Source organism: Homo sapiens, chromosome 1 (genome assembly GCF_000001405.40).
Source record: "Homo sapiens chromosome 1, GRCh38.p14 Primary Assembly".
Classification (NCBI taxonomy): domain Eukaryota; kingdom Metazoa; phylum Chordata; class Mammalia; order Primates; family Hominidae; genus Homo; species Homo sapiens.
The window spans coordinates 146,399,771-146,418,505 of NC_000001.11; the positions used below are offsets into that span (position 1 = coordinate 146,399,771).

Here is an 18,735-nt window from a genome sequence, read left to right on the forward strand (position 1 = left end):
TGTGAATTATGACCACCACCGGCCACTTCCCCACTTTTGAGCTATGTATTCATCCACTGAAACTGCTTGCTATTGCCACAGTTAGCTATAAAGTAACCTAATCACGTGCACTGGACACCATCTCTCATTCCCTGTAGCTGAACAATGTATAGCTAATCCCTAATCAATGTTATTTCTGTAAACCACTGGGAGTTCCTGACAAGCAACTTTCTACCAGCCAACTCCCTGTCTCCCTTTTTGGTCTTTACAAACCTGCTTGTAACAAAGGCCAAACAGAACCCATATCCAAGATTGCTTGGCTCTGAGCCTTCTGGGCAACTATCCTCACACTGGCTCAAACAAACTCTTTAAATCATATGTTGTGCTTAAGCCCCTTCCTTCTAGGTCGATGTTTTTGGCCCTGGGAGCAGGATTCAGAGCAACTTATCTCTGACCATCTGACCGTCCTCTCAAAGGCCTCCAGGGTGGCTACATAGTAGGTAGAATTTTATTGGTGAGATCAGTTTGCAGTCCGGGAAGAGACAGTCTCTGGTGTGTGTCTTTGAAGAGGTGCTTTCTCTTCAGAGAGAGAGAGAGAGAGAGAGAGAGGGCAGGTTGGTTTTTGTGCCTCACAGGGTGTGTATCACACAATAGAGTCATACATATTCAGCAGGTTTGGGGAAACGCCATTTCTGAGGGGTATTGAGCTCATGTGCAACGGGTAAACATATATGTAACATGCACCCCATCTTCACATTGGGAAGGGATTTTAGCATTAAAATGAGGTGGAAATTGGCTGTTTATGTCAAAAGGTGAACTACTGGACACGAAGTCAGTTTGTGTGCAGTCCCTGTAACATGGCTGAAACTGGCTTGATATCTGCAGTTGCTTATCGGGAAAGAATGGAAGGCCACTCCTCTGTCCCATCAGAGCTCTAGTGATCTGGGTTGTAAATCCAGTTGAGAAGGGCTGGGAAGATTTTGACAGTTTGCTTGCTAGCCCCTATTGTTAAGGAGTTTAGCAACAGTGTGTTTTTTCCTGTAGCCATAGGAATTCAGGACGTTGCCATGCCAGATGAGCCCTGAACCCTGGACCTGTAGCTAACTTTTGTTTCCTTAACCTTACAGTCTGTCTTAGTCTATAAGGGGGCATGTATTTTCATCTCTCAGATCACACCACATTCCTCCTGGACTGGGTGCCTGGCCAGCTCTGAAGCCCTCGAGTTTGGACTCTGAGAGAAACAGTTGGGCAGTAGTAAGTGGGGAATCCTCCTGAAATCTGGACCTTCCCACTCTTTGGTTGAAGGCCTGGACTTTGCTTGAGTGTCCTTTCCAGCTCTCCCTTTCTAGAATGGAGGTTTTCTGTCTTTACCCTGTGGGTAAGAGGTTTGAGTCTCAGGGGGAAATAACTGCCTTTTCCACCTCTGCATCAGGACAGAAAGTTTGGGTCACAGTCAGGCAAAGAGCTCTCCAGAGAGCTTCTGCCTTTCCTGCCTCTGTTCCTCAGCAGGAAGTTCTGGGTCAAGGTATTGGCAGGTAGGCCCTGGTGGTGTCATTTTATGTAGCATGTTGTTTTGAACATTCAGGCTTAGCTTTTCATTTGTGACTAATTCCTGTTAGTTCTTAACTGGAAAGCGCATGGAGGTGCATTCCCCTGCCCTGAAGAAAAGAAGTGATCTGCTCCCGCTGATCCATTCAGGTGCTCCAAGTGATCGGGGATGTTGCAGAGGTGTTGGGGTCATTACTCACCATGTGAAGGTGGCCTTATAGGACACTCCCCATCAGAAGAACATCTTTATGAACCCCCTTTCCTGCTCTTCTGGGAGGGTATATGTCGGACGGGTCCCTCATAGCACATGCACTCTGTGGCCACCTGGTGGTTAGAAACAGTGGGAACCACTGAGACAGCGATACACAACTCCGGTGTTATCTGTCAGAGTGACTTCATAAGCACCACACTGTGACCCAAAACACATCACAGGCCTTGGTCATCTGAAAAGCTCCTGAATTATGGGAAATCAAGCTTCAAAATTTAGCACACTGTGAAGAAACAACCACCTTTAGAAACATCAGCTGGGTTTATGTATAACACTTATGAAGCGTCCTCTTGTAAATATCCAAGAAACTGGGCCCACCTAACCAGGAAAACTCATAAGCAGAATGAAGAAAATGGGGATATTTTGAAATGCTTAAAATAATTTATTAGTGTGCACAATTGGAAAAATTTGGTTTTAGAACCAAATTAAATGGGAGACTTACTTCCAATAATACCTAGAAATTTCTAAAAGAACTGCGAAAATTGCCTCCAGTGAGGAAGTAAGCTGAAGGAGGTAAACTGACACGTTTTCTGAATTGAGAAATATTGAGGAGGCTTTGTCTCTTTTGCCTCCAACTGCTCCTTCTCCTCCTGCCCCTGCACCTGCATAGTCTCCCTTACCTGAGCCCTCCGGTCCTGCCTTGCCTCTTCTTCCATCACCATCACCTGAGGAAAGTCCCCAGGGCTCTAGCCCCTCCCCTGAAACTTCTGTTCTGACAGCCCCTTTCAAGGTAGGGGCTTCCACAGGAAGAGGGGAGCCTACCATTCTGTATACTGCTTCACCAAAATGTGAATTAAGAATATTATAAAAGACTTCCCTGGGCCGGGCGCAGTGGCTCATGCCTGTAATCCCAGCACATTGGGAGGACTAGACAGGCGGATCACGAGGTCGGGAGTTCGAGACCAGCCTGGACAACATGGTGAAACCCGGTCTATACTAAAAATACAAAAATTAGCCGGTCATGGTGGTACATGACTGCAATCCCAGCAACTCGGGAGGCTGATGCAGGAGAATCGCTTTAACTCGGGAAGTGGAGGTTGCAGTGAGCCAAGATTGCACCATTGCACTCCAGCCTGGGTGACCGAGCAAGACTTTGTATCAAAATACATAAATAAATAAATAAAAAATAAAAAAGACTTCCCTGATCGAAATTTAAATCAATTTCCCCTTCTAATTCTAAAGCAGCCTCCAAGATCCTATAGGGTTTGGGAGAAAATTTGACTTAATTGTCCAAACTTTTAGCCCGAATATTCTGATTTTTATCAATTAATTCACATGTGGTGTAAGAAGGCAGGGCCACTAAATGGTTGAAAAGGGCGAATTGGAATAATTCTTTAGAGGATTTTTAAAAACAGACTAAAGCAGACAATGAAAGGGTCTGCATTTTGGCCAAATACCTCCATGTTGCCATTCCCCAGGTTGTTCCCAAAAATGTAGATGGGAGAATTCAGCAATGCACTTAAAAGGCCAAGCAAATCTGTCATTGGTATTTTAAGTGGTTAAGATTTATTGATTGATTGATTGAGACAGGGCCTCACTCTGTCACCCAGGCTGGAGTGCAGTGGCTCCATCATGGCCCACCACATCCTCAACCTCTCAGCTCTAGCAATCCTCCCACCTCAGCCTCCCGAGTAGCTGGGACCACAGGTGCATGCCACAATGCCCAGCTAATTCTTTGATTTTTTTTTTTGTAGAGAGGACATCTTGCTGTGTTTTCCAGGCTGGACCTGAATGAACTTCTGGGCTCAATCAATCCTTCCACCTCAGCCTAACATTTACACTGGGAGCAGAGATGCATTTGGAGTAGGTGATGATTTTGGAATGCTTTAGAAGCAACATAGGTATCTGATTTCATCAGGTCAAGCCATCAAAAATGACCAATAAATCTCTGACCTCTTAGAAGCAATTTGAAGACCCAAATTTTGGCCATCATCAAAATTCGTGTTCATTCAAAATTAGACATTCTGGAGAGCAAGGACAATCATTTTGCTGATGCTGCAGCTAAGAATGCAGCTCTGAAGGTGACATCAGACACAGAACTCCTCGAAATGACCTTGCTGACTTATGACCCATTGAAGACTTCATTAGAAGTACAAGTGGGCTGGGCATGGTGGCTCATGCCTGTAATCCCAGCACTTTGGGAGGCCAAGGCTGGCGGATCACCTGAGGTCAGGAGTTTGAGACCAGCCTGGCCAACATGGTGAAATCCTGTCTCTACTAAAAATACAAAAATTAGCTGGTGTGGTGACACATGTCTATAATCCCTGCTACTTGGGAGGCAGAGGCATGAGAATTGCTTGAACCTGGGAGGCGGAGGTTGCAGTGAGGTGAGATTGCACCACTGCACTCCAGCCTGGGTGACAGAGCAAGACTCTGGCAAAAAAAAAAAAAAAAAAAAAAAAAAAAAAAGAAGCATAAGTAGGAGCTCCCAAGCAGGAGAGGGATCTCTGGAAGGATAAAGGGAACAAATTTCTTCCAGAAACAGTCATATGGTATGGGCCCAATGATACACTGATCTATCCCTTAGGCTTCAATTACCCTTTTACAGTACTTCATAAGCTGACTCATTGGAATTCAGACAAAATGTTGGCATGGGGAAAGCAATGGTATTGAAAATCATTGCCTATGATTGCAGAAAATGTTTAGTCTTGCCATACTGTCTGTCCCAAACATAATCCTGGAAAACCCCTTCATGGGTCACAGGGACATTTTGCCTTTGGGACCCTTCGAGAAATGGCAGTTAGACTTTATCCAGCTGTCTCCATCTCAGGGTCACAGATACTTTCTGGTGCTAATTTGTATATGCTCACTGGGGTGAGCATTTCCATGCCGATGAGCCACAGCCCAAGTAGTAGGTAGATTGTGATTAGAAAAGGTAATTCCTCATGGGGGGTGCCATCTGAACTCCATAGAAACCGAGGAACACACTTCGTTGGTCAGGTAATTTGATCCATTTGTAACATTTTTGCCTAAGTCCCAACATTTCCATTGTGCCTGTCACCCCTAATCCTCTGGGCCGATGGAATGCACTAATGATACAATAAAAACTCAATTGGCAAAGCTAACAGAAGTTTTTAACCTTTCTTGGACAAGGATCTCCCACTGGTTGTGGAAAATGTCCACACTCTCCCTCTTTGAAATAATAACAGGAAGACCCTTGCAGTGGTTAGATGAAGGCGCTTATGAATCTGCACTTCTTAAAGGTGACATTCTCCATTACTGCTAAGATCTCACAGAACTTACTAAGAACTCTACATTAACAAAGAATTCCATTCATAATGAACTCCTGGGAGATGAAAATATCAAAAATCTTGGCCTATAACCTGGAGATGTTGTTGTTTACTGGAAACAACATCAAATAAAATATTCTCCCCAAGACTGTTGGAAGGGACCACATCAGCTATTATTATTACTTTATATATTTTTTTTTGAGATGGGATCTCATTCTATTCCCCAAGCCAGAATGCAGTGGCACAATCATGACTCATTGTAGCCTTGAACTCCTGGGCTCAAGCCACCCTTCTGCCTCAACCTTCCAAATATTTGGGACCACAGGCATAGGCCACTGCACCTAACTGACGACAGGTATTACTGACCAATCTAGGCCAGTAAACTTAAGGGCGTTGACACATGGATTCATGTTTCTCTTGTAAAAGGCAACCCTACCAGAGTGGACATCTGTCAGTGGAGATTTTCACTTAGAGGTAACTCACAATCTTCCTGACAGAGATGGCAAGTAGCTGACATCTGGTGTAGTCCGCTTTCACCCAAGATATTGGCCTGTATAATCAGTTACAATTCCAGTGCTGACCGTGCCTGAGAGAGTTAGTCTCTTTTTTGCTGACTGGAATACATACACCATTAGGGCTCCTTTAAGTTGTAGGGGTTGTCTCTTGGTGGTTTTGGTAAAATCACCCTATATGCATATTCTCTTAAGATATGACACACTACTCCTCTTGCGTGTATGTGTATATACATATACATACATACATACATAGCAGAATACCTGTGATCAGATTTCTGTTTTACTGTCCCTAATTAATTTGATTACAGCAGGGAGGGATAATTCTCTGATTAGAATCTCACAAACCATTACCTCTGTGGGAAATTTGACAAGGTTCCAGGTTTGCCACTCAAAACCACAAACCACTTTTGACCATAATGACCCATTGGTACATCCTGTGCTAAATTTCACCTGTATTCCTCCTGATTGCACTCACGATGCAACTCAGGGTCATATCAAGCAAAACCTGTTTATCTAATCTGTCTGACTCACCCTAACCTTCCTGCCGCACGTCTCAGTTTAACCCATCGTAATCGTATTGTCAAAATAACTGCCTGTAATCCCAGCACTTTGGGAGGCCAAGACAGAAGGATCACTTGAGCACAGGGGTTTGAGACTAGCCTGGGCAAAATGGTGAAACACTGACTCTATAAAATATATACAAATTAGCTGGGTGTGGTGGTGCCCACCTGTAGTCCCAGCTACTCAGGAGCATGAGGTGAGAGGATGACTTGAGCTAAGGAGTTCAAGCCTGCAGCGAACCCTGATGACGCCACTGCACTCCAGCCTGGGCAACAGAGTGAGACCCTGTCTCAAAAAATAAATAAATAAGCTGCGTGTGGTGGTGTGTGCCTGTAGTCCCAGCTGCTTGGGAGGATGAGCCGTTGAGCCTTGGAGGTCAAGAGGTCAAGGCTGTACTGAGCTGTGATCTTGTCACTGAATTCCAGCCTGGGAGACAGAGTCCTTGTCTTAAAAAGTAATTATAATAAAAATAAAAAGTACAAAACCAACCAAACAAAAAATTGTTTCTTCACTCTGAAATAACAGTGGTTAACACCATGATGCCACTGGAAAGTTAAAAGAAAAACACTCCCTCCTGCTATCAGGATCCAACCTGCCCTCTTGCTCTACATTTCTGACCCATGGTTTAAATGCCCAAAAGCTGATGTACTCAAATTATAGCGCACTTACCTGTTCGGCGTTTATTTTTGTCTCTTGAAAAGATCACCATCCATGGCCCTATAAATGTCGAAGGGCATGGAATGATGAAGTGCAATGTCATTATTGTTATGTATCTCTCATCGTTTTACTTCTGGGAAAACTAATTTCATGGTATTCTGAAGAGTAGAGATGATTCAATAAGTGACAGCAGCTGTAGACTTAACTGAGGCCCCTCTCTCTCTCTCTTTTTTTTTTTTTTTTTGCCACTCTATGATGCCCTTTTTTTTTTAAGACCGAGTCTCACTCTGTCACCCAGGCTGGAGTGCAGTGGTGTGATATTAGCTCAGTGCAGCCTCAAACTCCCAGGCTCAAGCAGTCCTCCTACCTCAGCCTCCTGAATAGCTGGGACTAAGGTGTGTGCCACTACACCTGGCTAACTTTGTATTTTTTGTAGAGATGGGGTTTCACCATGTTGCCCAGGCTGGTTTTGAACTCCTGGACTCAGGCAATCCACCTATCTTGGCCTCCTGAAGTGCTGGGACTACAGGTGTGAGCCACCATGCCTGGCTGTAATGCCCTTTCAATTGGACTTTTGGGCATTCTTAAAAATTCCTCAGTGAGGTGGCTTCTTTCCTCCCCTGTCCCCTGCTTGGGACAGGACTATCCGGGAATGAACCTTTCTGGCAAAGAGGGACACCCTTGACTTAGCTTTTGATCATCGATGCTTTCAAGAAGAAAGATTAAAAAAACTTTTTATCTGAGGAATGTGAGCCCTTTCAAATGATCAGGCCCAGAGAGACGTTAAATCGAGACAGCAACCACTTTCCGCTCCTTCCTTTTGAGCTGCGCTGAGCTATGTATTCATCCGTTGAAACTGCTTGCTATTGCCTCAAGTAGCTGTAAATTAACCTAATAATGCCACACCAATCCCTATACCCCCATACCCTATAACTTAACAACATATAGCCAATCACCAAGCAATGTTATTTCTGTAAACCAATGAGAATTCCTGATAGGCACCTATCAGCCCACTGTCTGTCCCTGCTTTTGAACTTTAAAAACCTGCTTGTGGGCAGGGTGCGGTGGCTCACGCCTGTAATCCCAGCACTTTGGGAGGCCGAGGCAGGCGGATCATGAGGTCAGGAGATCGAGACCATCCTGGCTAACACGGTGAAACCCCGTCTCTATTAAAAAAATACAAAAAAAATTAGCTGGGCGTGGTGGCGGGTGCCTGTAATCCCAGCTACTAGGGAGGCTGAGGCAGGAGAATGGCGAGAACCCGGGAGGCGGAGCAGAGTTCGCGCCACTGCACTCCAGCCTGGGCAACAGAGTGAGACTCCATCTCAAAATAAATAAATAAATAAAAAATAAAAAATAAAAACCTGCTTGTGACAAAGGCCAAAGGGAGCTCAAATCCAAGCTTCCTTGGTGTGAGTCTTCCAGGCAGTTGTCTTCATGTTGACTCAAGTAAACTCTAAATTATATTTTGTGCTTCAGCCTCCTTCTTTTAGGTCAACATGTTCAACAACAGTAGAATAGATACATAAGTTAATGTATATTCCTACAAAGGAATACACGTAGAACCAAATAACCATATGAATAACATGAAAAATTCATAGACATAGGACTGAGTGAAAGAAGTCAGACCTATGCCTCTGCTTCTGCAACCGCCTTTGCAAAAATTACAACTGGGACAATTACCACAGTGAAAGAGATCTGATCTAACTGATTCCATCTTGCTTCTAACGTACAAGCTGTCCTTGTTGATTGCTGGGCACAGGCCGAAATAACTTTGGGAGGAAATTAGTTTATGGTTTAGCTGTGAAACAAAGATGATAATATCCCTTTCCCGAAGCAAACCCCCTTCCTGCCTGGGGACTAGACTGCCTTTGCCGGACTAACAAATTAGCCACGAGATTAGAAATTATGGTTTAGGAGTCATGTAGCCTCTGGCTGCAAGATTCTAAACCTCCCCAAATTGTTCCTGGAGATCACATCGTTATTGGAAAACCTAAGATCAGTGCTTGAGATATTTTGCCGACCCTGCACTCAATGGATCAGCTGGCACCAGCTAGACTGATAACCTGGCTCAGCTGGTCTTGTGGCCCCCAAGCAGGAACTGACCCAGCACAAGACCACAGCTTCAGCTCCCTGTGATTTCATCTCCGACCTGGCCAAGCAGAACTCTCAATTCACCGGCCCCCAATCACCAAATAAAGAGTGCAGCTCTTTATTGCAATTCCCCTGTGTCGAAAAATTGGCTCTGTCTAGGCAGCAGGCAGGGTGTACCTGTTGGGCAGTAACACTCCCCCCAAAACCCACTACAGACTGTGACTCAGCTTATATGAAAGTAAAGGGCGGGAAAAACTTGCCTGATAGATTTGCAGAGATGGGGGTGGAAACCATTAATAAGTCTGTGGAGTATTCTCAGAGTTTGGTGTTGTAGTCTACATATTAAAAGTAATCAGTTAAACACCTGAAATAAAATTTCTCCCAAATATTTTTGCCAAATTTGGATGACTGTGTTTCTGTCTTCGCAGCATATAAAGTGTTAACATGAGGTAAGCGCTAAGGTCTAGAGAAGGCAGTGAAGAGATGACAAACTCCAGCACCATGCCTGAATGTCCAGTGTGCTCTGCTGGGGCAGCACATTTTTGTACATTGCTGTATCTGAAAAAAACCCTACAAGATTCATGAAACTGGACGACCGTCTTTATAATACTCCTAGTGATAAAACAAGTAAGGATGGCTGGTTTGCAGTCATCTGAGCAGCCTCTCCAGTTTCATAGATACGGTTTCTCTCTGATATTGAACGACTTCCAAATGTCAAGTGAAATGCTACATCACAAGGATAACCGTATGTGAAAAGAACCGTTTTTCTTTGTAATCCTAAACTTTCTAGTCTGAGCTTTAAAAGCCATTATTTGAAGAAAAGCGCACAGGCTCCAGCTGGCCGCCAAAGGGGTCCTTTGCATCACAGGCTAAGAACCTACTTCTTTGGGAGAGACCAGGGATGGGGATGGGAGGGAAAGGAGGTAGAGTCAGGTGTCACTTTCTCCGCCCGCTCCCGCAGCTGGTTGGTCGGCCGAGTGGCAGAGGGTGGGGCGGAAGAGCAGACGGGGACGGGAAAGGCGCTGTCGGTGACATCACAGATAGGGCGATTCCTATGCAGAGGAGGCAGCTCAGGGGCTGCTGCTTCGCCACGAAAGATTTCTCGTGCTGTGGGAGCTAGTCCAGGACCTCCGGTTGGACGTGATAGTCCCAGCTGTGTGTCAGGGCTAGGAGGACTTGAGGCGGCATGGGGGCGGGGTGGGGGAATGCGCGGGGCAAGTGACCGTGCGTGTAAGGGGTGAGGCGTATGGAGCTGTGGCAGGGCGGAGGTGCGTTCATTCATACTTACGTAACAGGAGAAAATACGGCCATGAAGTTGGTGTTTTTCGGGGGCGATTTCTCCATTGTACTCAGTATGTGCTGACTGACTCCTGTTACTTCCACATGTGGGGAAACTGGACTGTAATTTGTGGTGGTGGGGAATTGCGTTCGCTTTCTTCTGGAGGTTGTAGTGCAAAAAGCAGTTTGTGTACCAAGTGATACTTTCAGCTTTTACAAATGCTGAGCAATATCCATGGTGTGTTTTCATGTCACCTCCTCTCCCTTCTTTGTTAGAAAAAAATGGAAGAGCACGTGGGTGTTTTGAGATGAGAAGAGGTGCGTTCACCACCTTCGCCTCCGTGTAGGCTTGTTATTAAGGGAAAGGGAACAAAGGAGTCTCACTTATGTAAGATGACCTTACATGAGAAGAAGAAATTCGAGTTGGTGAAAAGAAAGAAATTCAATTTCAGCCGGGCGCGGTGGTTGACGCCTGTAATTCCAGCACTTTGGGAGACCGAGGCAGGCGGATCACGAGGTCAGGAGATCAAGACCATCGTGGCTAACACGGTGAAACCCCGTCTCTACTAAAAAATACAAAAAAATTAGTTAGGTGTCGTGGCGGGTGCCTGTAGTCCCAGTTACTCGGGAAGCTGAGGCAGGAGAATGGCGTGAACCTTGGAGGCGGTGGTTGCAGTGAGCCGAGATCGCACCACTGCACTCTAGCCTGGGGGACAGAGCGAGACTCCGTCTCAAAAAAAAAAAAGAATTCAATTTCAACAGTCTAATATCCTGGCATGCAAGAGAGAAATTCTAAGACTGTCTCAACTGTAGAAATGTTCAGGGAGAAAAAAAAATAGATGATTATTTATTCTGGTTCATTCATTGTCTCGTTGAGTTTGTCAGATGCCAGGTGAGGTGCCTTACATGTGTTCATAACCTCAAGACATAAAAGGGAAGGAATTTTAGAATGATTCAATGATATCACTGTTTTGCCTAATAAGCAAATAATTCAGTAAGAGACACTTATTAACAAATCTAAGAATAAAGCTTCCTTTTTAATCACAAAATTGCCTTTCTTCACATTATCTTTCTTTACATTCTTTGACAAAGTACCCCAACCCATCAATATTGTCTGTCTTATCCAAACTGAAGGATGATAATCCAGATTTAAGAAAATATCTATCAAAATAATGACAACATTGAGCATGTACTCAGTATCTGCTGGGTATAGAGCACAACAAATATCTCTCGAGTTAGTACCAGGCCCTGTGCTGAGGCCTCCACTCCTCTCTAGCTCATGTGCACTGAGCAGCGAGTGCCACTGGCTCCTTGAAAGCTGCTCAGGCACCACCGTTTTTAATTCCCATGAGAGGTGCTGTGTGCACCCCAGTGGACAGATGAGGGAATGGAGAGCAGGTGGATACCCTTGGGTAGAGAGCCACACATGGTTGGATCCAGCTCTAGAAGGACTGACCCCTTCTCTACCCGACTCGAGAAAGCCCACTGTCAATGATCTCGACCTCTACTTTATGTCTCCTATTTCTGGAATGGAAATGACCTCGTGCATATTTCAAATTCTCCAGCTTTTCCTTGCCTTTCCTCCATCTTGTCAGTACTCAAATAGGAAAATGATATATACATATATGTTGATCATGTACACTTAATTTCCTAGATGTAATTAAGTATAAATTTCAGGCAAAATGCTAACTTGAATATATTTTTATGTTAAAACTTTTCCATATTTCATTCACTTATCATTAAGAAAGCAAAACCTTTGCACAAAATATTGTGCTAGCCTTTGCCAGGAGACAGAAATGAGGAGTCATGGGCTGTGTTCTTCAGGAGTGTTGAGTTCTCCCGAGAGTGTGAGAATACACAGGTAAGCCCAATAGAAAGCAAAAGTCAGGGGCGGGCATGGTGGCTTATGCCTGTATTCCCAACACTTTAGGAGGCCGAGGTGGGCAGATAACTTGAGGTCAGGAGTTCGAGACCAGCATGGCCAACATGGTGAAACCCCATCTCTACTAAAAAAAAAACCACACACACACACACACACACACACAAATTAGCTGGGTGTGGTGGGATATACCTATAATCCCAGCTACTTGGGAGGCTGAGGGAGGAGAATCACTTGAACCAAGGAGGCAAGGGTTGCAGGAGGCAGTGATTGTGCCACTGCACTCCAGCCTGGGTGACAGAGCAAGACTCTTGTCTCAAACAAGCACACAAACAAAAACCAAAAGTCAGATGACTAAGGCAGTGATGATTGCCACATCCTGTGCAGGGCAGCCTCTGGGATTTGTCTCAAAACACACTCGATCTAGTTCTTGACGCCCATTGAGATGGATGCTAGGCTATAGGCAGTTACATAAGATCTTCGAGCCTCAGTTTCCTTATCTCTGAAGTGAGAAAAGTAATATTGATATTGTTAAAAAGGCATGAGATTTAGATATAAGTAAAATACTTGTATTTTACTTAGTACCTACTTAATCTTCATGAGTGAGTCAAAGAAAGCAAGTAGAATTAGGCAGGGTTGTGGGGATGGGGAGAAGCAAGCTGTGCTAAAGGCAGGGGAAATGGGCAGATAGTATGCAGGGCTAAACACAGATACCTACAACCTGCAGCAGAGGCAACTTACTGAGCTTAACATAGAGAATACAAGTCACTTTAAAATGTACAGCTCTATGTTACTTTTCACCCCACAATAAAATCGGTCCTTACCTAGAAAAAAGTAAAGATAAAAATGAAAGAAAAGAGGAGTGGGGGAAGTAACATACATGTGTACACATTCAGACCTTTGGCATGCTTACATCAGAGAAAGAACACTTTTGCAAGTTTTCTTGGCACAACGAATGGTAGTAATTTTTAAGTCTATTGTGTCTGTCATCTATTCATATATTCTGAAACTGCTGACCTCTCATTGACAACAGTATGCCTCTTTTTCTAAGATTAGAAATTTTAAAATGTAATTGCTGATAATAAACAATGGACATTATGCTAAGCGAAGTGAGCCAGTCAAAAAAATAAACAAACAAACAAACAAATAAATACTACACGATTCAACTCATTTTAGGTTGGTGCGAAGTTATTGTGGTTTTTGCCATTAAAAGTAATATAAAGTACCTGGAATAGTCAAATGTATAGCAAGAGAAAATAGAATGGTGCTTGCCAGGGGCTGGAGGGAAGGAGAAATGGGGTTGTTGTTCAGTGGGTGCAGGGTTTGAATTTTGCAAGATGAAAGGGTTCTGTGGCTGGATGGTGGTCATGGCTTCACAGCACTGTCAACGTGCATGATGCCACTGACCTGCGCACATCTTAAGTGGTTAATGATCAATTTTATGTCATATGTATTTTTTCACATTTGAAAACACTTTTAAAAACCATTCTTGTTAGTATTTAAAGAACTGCAAGATAAAAAAGAGACATTTTTAAAGTGTGAAGTCGTGTGCACAGGTTCATCGTCTAGGTGTGTACTCATGAAAACAAATCTCTTGTGTTGCAGATAGCGCTCGTTAAGGTTGATTTCTGCATATCAGTGAGAGTTCAGTGATCTTACATTCAACATAAATATGACAACTTTACAAACATCCCCCCTTTCATCCACTGAGTGAGTTTATCAGGAAAACCCAACAAAATCCTTCCAGGCCTCCCTGGGGGAAGGTACACAGTCCCCTGCTCTGGAGGAGGACATGGAGGCTCACGCTGGTTAAGGGAGTTTTCCAAAGTCACCAGCAGCAAGGAACCTTCTGAAACTGCTGACAAGTCCGTGCTTTTCCCACGTCCACTTACATTATTTAGGCAAGACCCACTTGGGAATCTATTTTTTCAAGGCATGATCGGGACTAGGTTCAGGATGGTAGAGCAGGGCTGTTTTTGAAAGGCGGTCTCTTTCTCTTTGCACCAAGCTTTCCGTAAGTGTGTGGGTGACCCTCCCAACTTCCTCCTCTCTCCCACAACCACCGCCCTCGCTGCTTCTCTCAGCTTCTCTCCCCGACACCTGGATGACTCCTCTTGGCTACCTGGGGGCTGGCATTGTGGGAGGCAGCCGACGCCAGTGGGTGCTGCTGGGATCCCTGCCCACACCCAGCAGTTGCCTGGAGATGGAGGTATGCCAGGTATGTGGGCCAACAGCTGCAGAGTTGCCACTGACAGGCTGGAGGAGGATTCTTTGTCAGTGACCGCACCAGCCCGAGCCCCTGCCAGCTGTCCCACTCAGTATGCCCTGGCTTCCAGGGCCCCAGCCAAGGAAGGGTGTGGACATGTGATACAGTGGTGACCACAAGGCAGGGGTCAAGGGGAAGGCAGGCCGATACTAGCAACAGAGGAAATGACACTTCAGAAGCGTCCTCTCTTACAAACAAGAGCAACTGTGTGTGTCCCAGTGAGTATGGGAAGCTCAGTCTCCTAACATCATTCAAGGGTCTCCAAGTGACTGTGCATACAGTTTTAAAAATATCACCGAACTTGTTTTTCTTACCCCAGCCATTTTTTATAACTATATCTAGGGAATGGGTTGGTTGACTCTAAAGAGCAAGGAACTAAAGAAAAGATAAACATGGAAACTTCAGGTTTTCCAGAATCTTGCATATTTCCCTCCTGTTTCCCTATTATAATTTACATTTAAAATGGAGAGATATGCAGTTTAAGCCAAATGTTTTGAGTCATGAAAACAAGTGAAACTCTTTTGCCTGTTCATGATAAACCTTCAGATTTGGTGACTTCTTTCCACCAAGGCAAGATAGGTTTCACTGGGGGGAACTGAACTGGTGTGGTGTTTTCTGCCTTCAGCCATCTGTGTGTACACTGTGACAATATGGTTCTGTGCTGGATGAGACGCCTACTATTTTTTCATCTCACTAAAGAGCCTCAAGTTTCTCAGCTACAACCTGGAGGAAGTGTCTGAAAGCTGATTTTCTGATGCCCAGCCCCAGGCCTCCTTTTCCACCGCACAAGATCAGACCTGCTTTTCTCTAAATCAGAATTAGGCACGCCACTCCAGATGAAAGAGCCCTGTCATTGAAATGCCTTTCTTTGGCCCACACTAAGTATAATTTCTGCTCCCGTTTGAACTCAAATATCACATGTATATTTTAACAGCTGCTGCTCTCTAAGCAAACTGATTCACATAGAAAATCCAGGATTGTGACTACTTATTTTTTCCTCTCTACACATGAAACAGATTCCCTGGAAACACAGTTATCTTAAGTAGCTGGAATTGTCTAACTTCGGTTACTTTATTATTTACAAATCAGCCAGGTGAGAACAAGAAAGTGAAAAGCAGGAAACAAGATAGGCAGAGAAACAAAGGGCTCGATCGCAAGAGCAGCAAGATGCCTGAGCAGACCTACAGGGTTCTCAGGGCTGCAGCAAAAATCATAGAACAGTCGTGGTCTCAGGACTCGCCATAGATCAGACCACGGCTTCCAACCATGCCACAGGCTGTCTGTGTGTTCCCTGCACACCATTCATTTTTGTCCTTCTATTTTAATGATCTGAAACCAAGTTTGGGCCATGTGTAGACAGGCCATTCGGAGGAGGCTTCGGGAAGGAGGGTGCATCTGAGACTAGTTGTAAAAGATGAGGAGGATTTCCACAATCGCTCAAAGGAAAGGGGCATTTCAGAAAGAGAGAAGAGCACGTTCACGTGAGCCCAGATAGGAGCACGGGGCACACGCATGAAACTTCCTGATGCTGGAGTTCATGCGCACGGTGGACGCAGGCTTGGCAGCCCACAAGGCAGAAGGGGAGGTGGTGCGGGAACCGTGGCTGCTCTAGGAAACTTGAGCTCCATTCTGCAGGCTCAAGGAGACATGGAGTAAGAGGAAGGACTCCTTGGGTGCATTGTTCATGGGAGGACAAATTAGAAAGGGGATTATCTCATGGCAGGCAGCCACTTCCAAGTAGGGAAGTTGGAGAACTTGTTGTCAGGTGGAAGAAAAGAGAAGACCCTTGAAAAGTCATCCAGGAATGGGTGTGCACAAACATGGAGTGTGTTCCTCATGCCGTAATTCTGATCCAGGTCCTTGACTTAACTGCATTGCCATTAAGCTTGTGAAAGGAGGGGAAAGCCGGTACCAGATATTGGTTATATGTCCAATATCTGTTTGACTCTTTGTTAGAGGTATTACCTAAGTTATCTTACAATACTCTAAAAGCAATTCTACAAAGCCCATTGCTATTTTACAGAAATGAAATCTGAAAATGAAGAGGGTCAAGTAAACTAAGAAGTCTATGCATAACTAAGAAATGGGGCTGCCTGACCCCAATCCTGCACTCTTGGCTCTTTATGACTTCACTTGTGAGCATACTGAACTCAAAGTGTTCTGGACGTCTCCAGGTAGAGGGCTCTAGGAGGCAGCCGAGTACGTGAGTCTGGAACTTAGGAGAGTTCCAAGCAGGGCTGTGGGTGTGGGATGGGGTGCATGGGAAGGAGGTTGTCAAAGCAAAGCAATGCGCAGCTGCTTAGGGAGGGGGCACAGGAGAGTGGCCTGGCCCTTCTTAGATCATTGTCAACTCAACTTGTCTAAATGGCTTTTATGACCTCAGTTATCACCTGTATTAATTCTGGCCTATGGTATTTTGCAGCTCTTCGGGAAATAGTGATCCTTTGTTTCTGACAAAGTTCTTCTTAAAGGGTTTATTGTCTTATTTACTAGGAATCATGGGGAATAGAGTGTTACACAATGTAATTTTTTCCCTAACAAATAAAGCTTATTTTTATAAATTCCAGGGCTTTTAATTTGAATCATGCTTAACTATTTTTCTATATTTTATTACATTGTTTGCTTCCTCCCTAAAGACAGTATATTTTAGTATTTTCACAGAAAAATGAGAAGCCCTCATTATGAACATACCTGATTAAATTGAGCATTTCCAAGTGATGTCCACATCATTGCTCAAGTGTTATGAGGCCACAGGATGAACTATTGCCCCTCGAATGATGCTAGAATGCTGTGCCTTTATTTATTTCATTGGACAACTCATTCAACATATATTTATCAAGTGACTCCTATAAGAGTAACTAAAATAGAATTTCCTGCTTTTGTAGACCTTACACTATAGATGATTCCATAGTGTCTAGTGTTTCATGAAATTATACAAAATGTCACTAAATCTAAAATGCCATTGGTAATGACATACACTTTTTAATGCACTAATATTAAATAATGCTGAAATTAAGTTATGCTTATCTAATGTAAGATACATTGCAGTTTCAGATACTAAAATTTGAACAAGTAGACAAACGTTTCTCTTGAAATCAGTGAAATCTCTATCTAAATCCCTTAGAATAGGGTTAGCACATAGTATTCCAGGAAAGCAAAGCTCTAATTATTATTGTTGGATTGTACCCAGATTATGTTACTATTTAAGTTTCTACTTTATGTAAAGCACTTTTTCATATGGATATTCTTTATCCTAACAATAGTCCATTTGTTACACCAGAAGTAACACCAGATACTTCTGAATAATAATGGCAGTTAAATCTGTGGTTTTGTGGAATTTTGCTTATATACGTCACTGTTGATTCAAACAATATAGCAGCTCTAAGAACATCTGTGCCTCCAGCCTCTGCATTTCAACCATGAGAGCGTCATTTCTCTCCATGATGCTTAAATTAAAAATCTAAATATTTGGTAAATTTTACGCTTTTCTAGAATATGTTTTGTTAATATTATATTCTAGTAAAAAAAAAAAATGTTCTTAGCCTGAGAAAGATTTTACAGAAAAGCTTTAGTAAACATTACACTTCATAATGTACCTGTACTACACTAAATGTATAATGTACTTATACTAAAGAGTGAACTATATTATCTTTGAGTTTAGGAATAAGATGAGTAAATATGTAAATGTAATAATGAGAAACTATTAAAATGCAGTAGTTTCATTCAATATGATTATTTAAATAGAAAATCCAAAAATTTGTACATGAATTAAATTAATAAACAAATTCAATGAGTTTACTAGATACAGAATTCATTGTCCAAAGGAATTGTATTTCTTTACACCAGCAATAATGTTAAAAATAATAATTTATAAGATTAACTTCATATTTCGTGAAAAGTGTAAAATTTAAGAATAAATTTAAAAATAGTTTACGAAGTCTTTATATACAATAATATAAAACTTTTGTACAATAATAACATCAAAATGAGGGGTGATATGTACTACATTCATAGGCTAAATGTCTCACTTTTATAATAATGTTAATTCTCAAACATATTTATATTATGCTTGAGTTTGACAAAATTATATACGTTTGACAAAATTCCAATAAATTCCCAATACATTTTGTGGAACTTATAAACTACACAATAAAGGCCAAAACAGTCCTTAAGAAAAACAAGTTGAGAAGACTTGACATATCATGAATGATTTGAAATTTACAAATTTCAGAACTTTTCCCATTGTAATATAAGCATGTAATACTATCACATTTCCCCAAATGGCTACTTTAAGTGCATCCTACAAATTGTGATATATTCTGTTTTTGTTTTCATCTTCGTTCTCTTTGAAATACTTTCTAAGTTCATCTGTGACTTCCTCCTTGACTCAGGAATTTTTAGAAGTGTGTTGTTTCATTTCAGAACATTTGGAAATTATTTATTTCTAGTTTCATTTAGTT

At 43.0% G+C, this 18,735-nt stretch overlaps 1 long non-coding RNA gene and 1 other non-coding gene across 5 annotated transcripts in view; one reads left to right on the forward strand and one right to left on the reverse strand.

Annotated features, from left to right (window-relative positions):
• The window catches only part of LOC112268274 (uncharacterized), a 43,044-nt gene that overhangs the window by 22,958 nt on the left and 1,351 nt on the right, over positions 1 to 18,735 (reverse strand). Inside the window, exons 1-3 of one of the 4 annotated variants that reach the window (XR_007066568.1) lie at positions 10,141 to 17,917; positions 1,728 to 1,851; positions 435 to 558 (exon numbers count right to left, since the gene is read on the reverse strand). This is a non-coding gene — a long non-coding RNA (uncharacterized LOC112268274). Of the gene's footprint in view, positions 1 to 252; positions 559 to 1,727; positions 1,852 to 10,140; positions 17,918 to 18,735 lie in introns of those variants that run through there. The other 3 variants (XR_007066566.1, XR_007066567.1, XR_002958622.2) reach the window with 3 other exon arrangements.
• LOC124904634 (U1 spliceosomal RNA) lies at positions 10,133 to 10,292 on the forward strand. Its single transcript, XR_007067136.1, has one exon. It is a non-coding gene; the product is annotated as a U1 spliceosomal RNA (small nuclear RNA).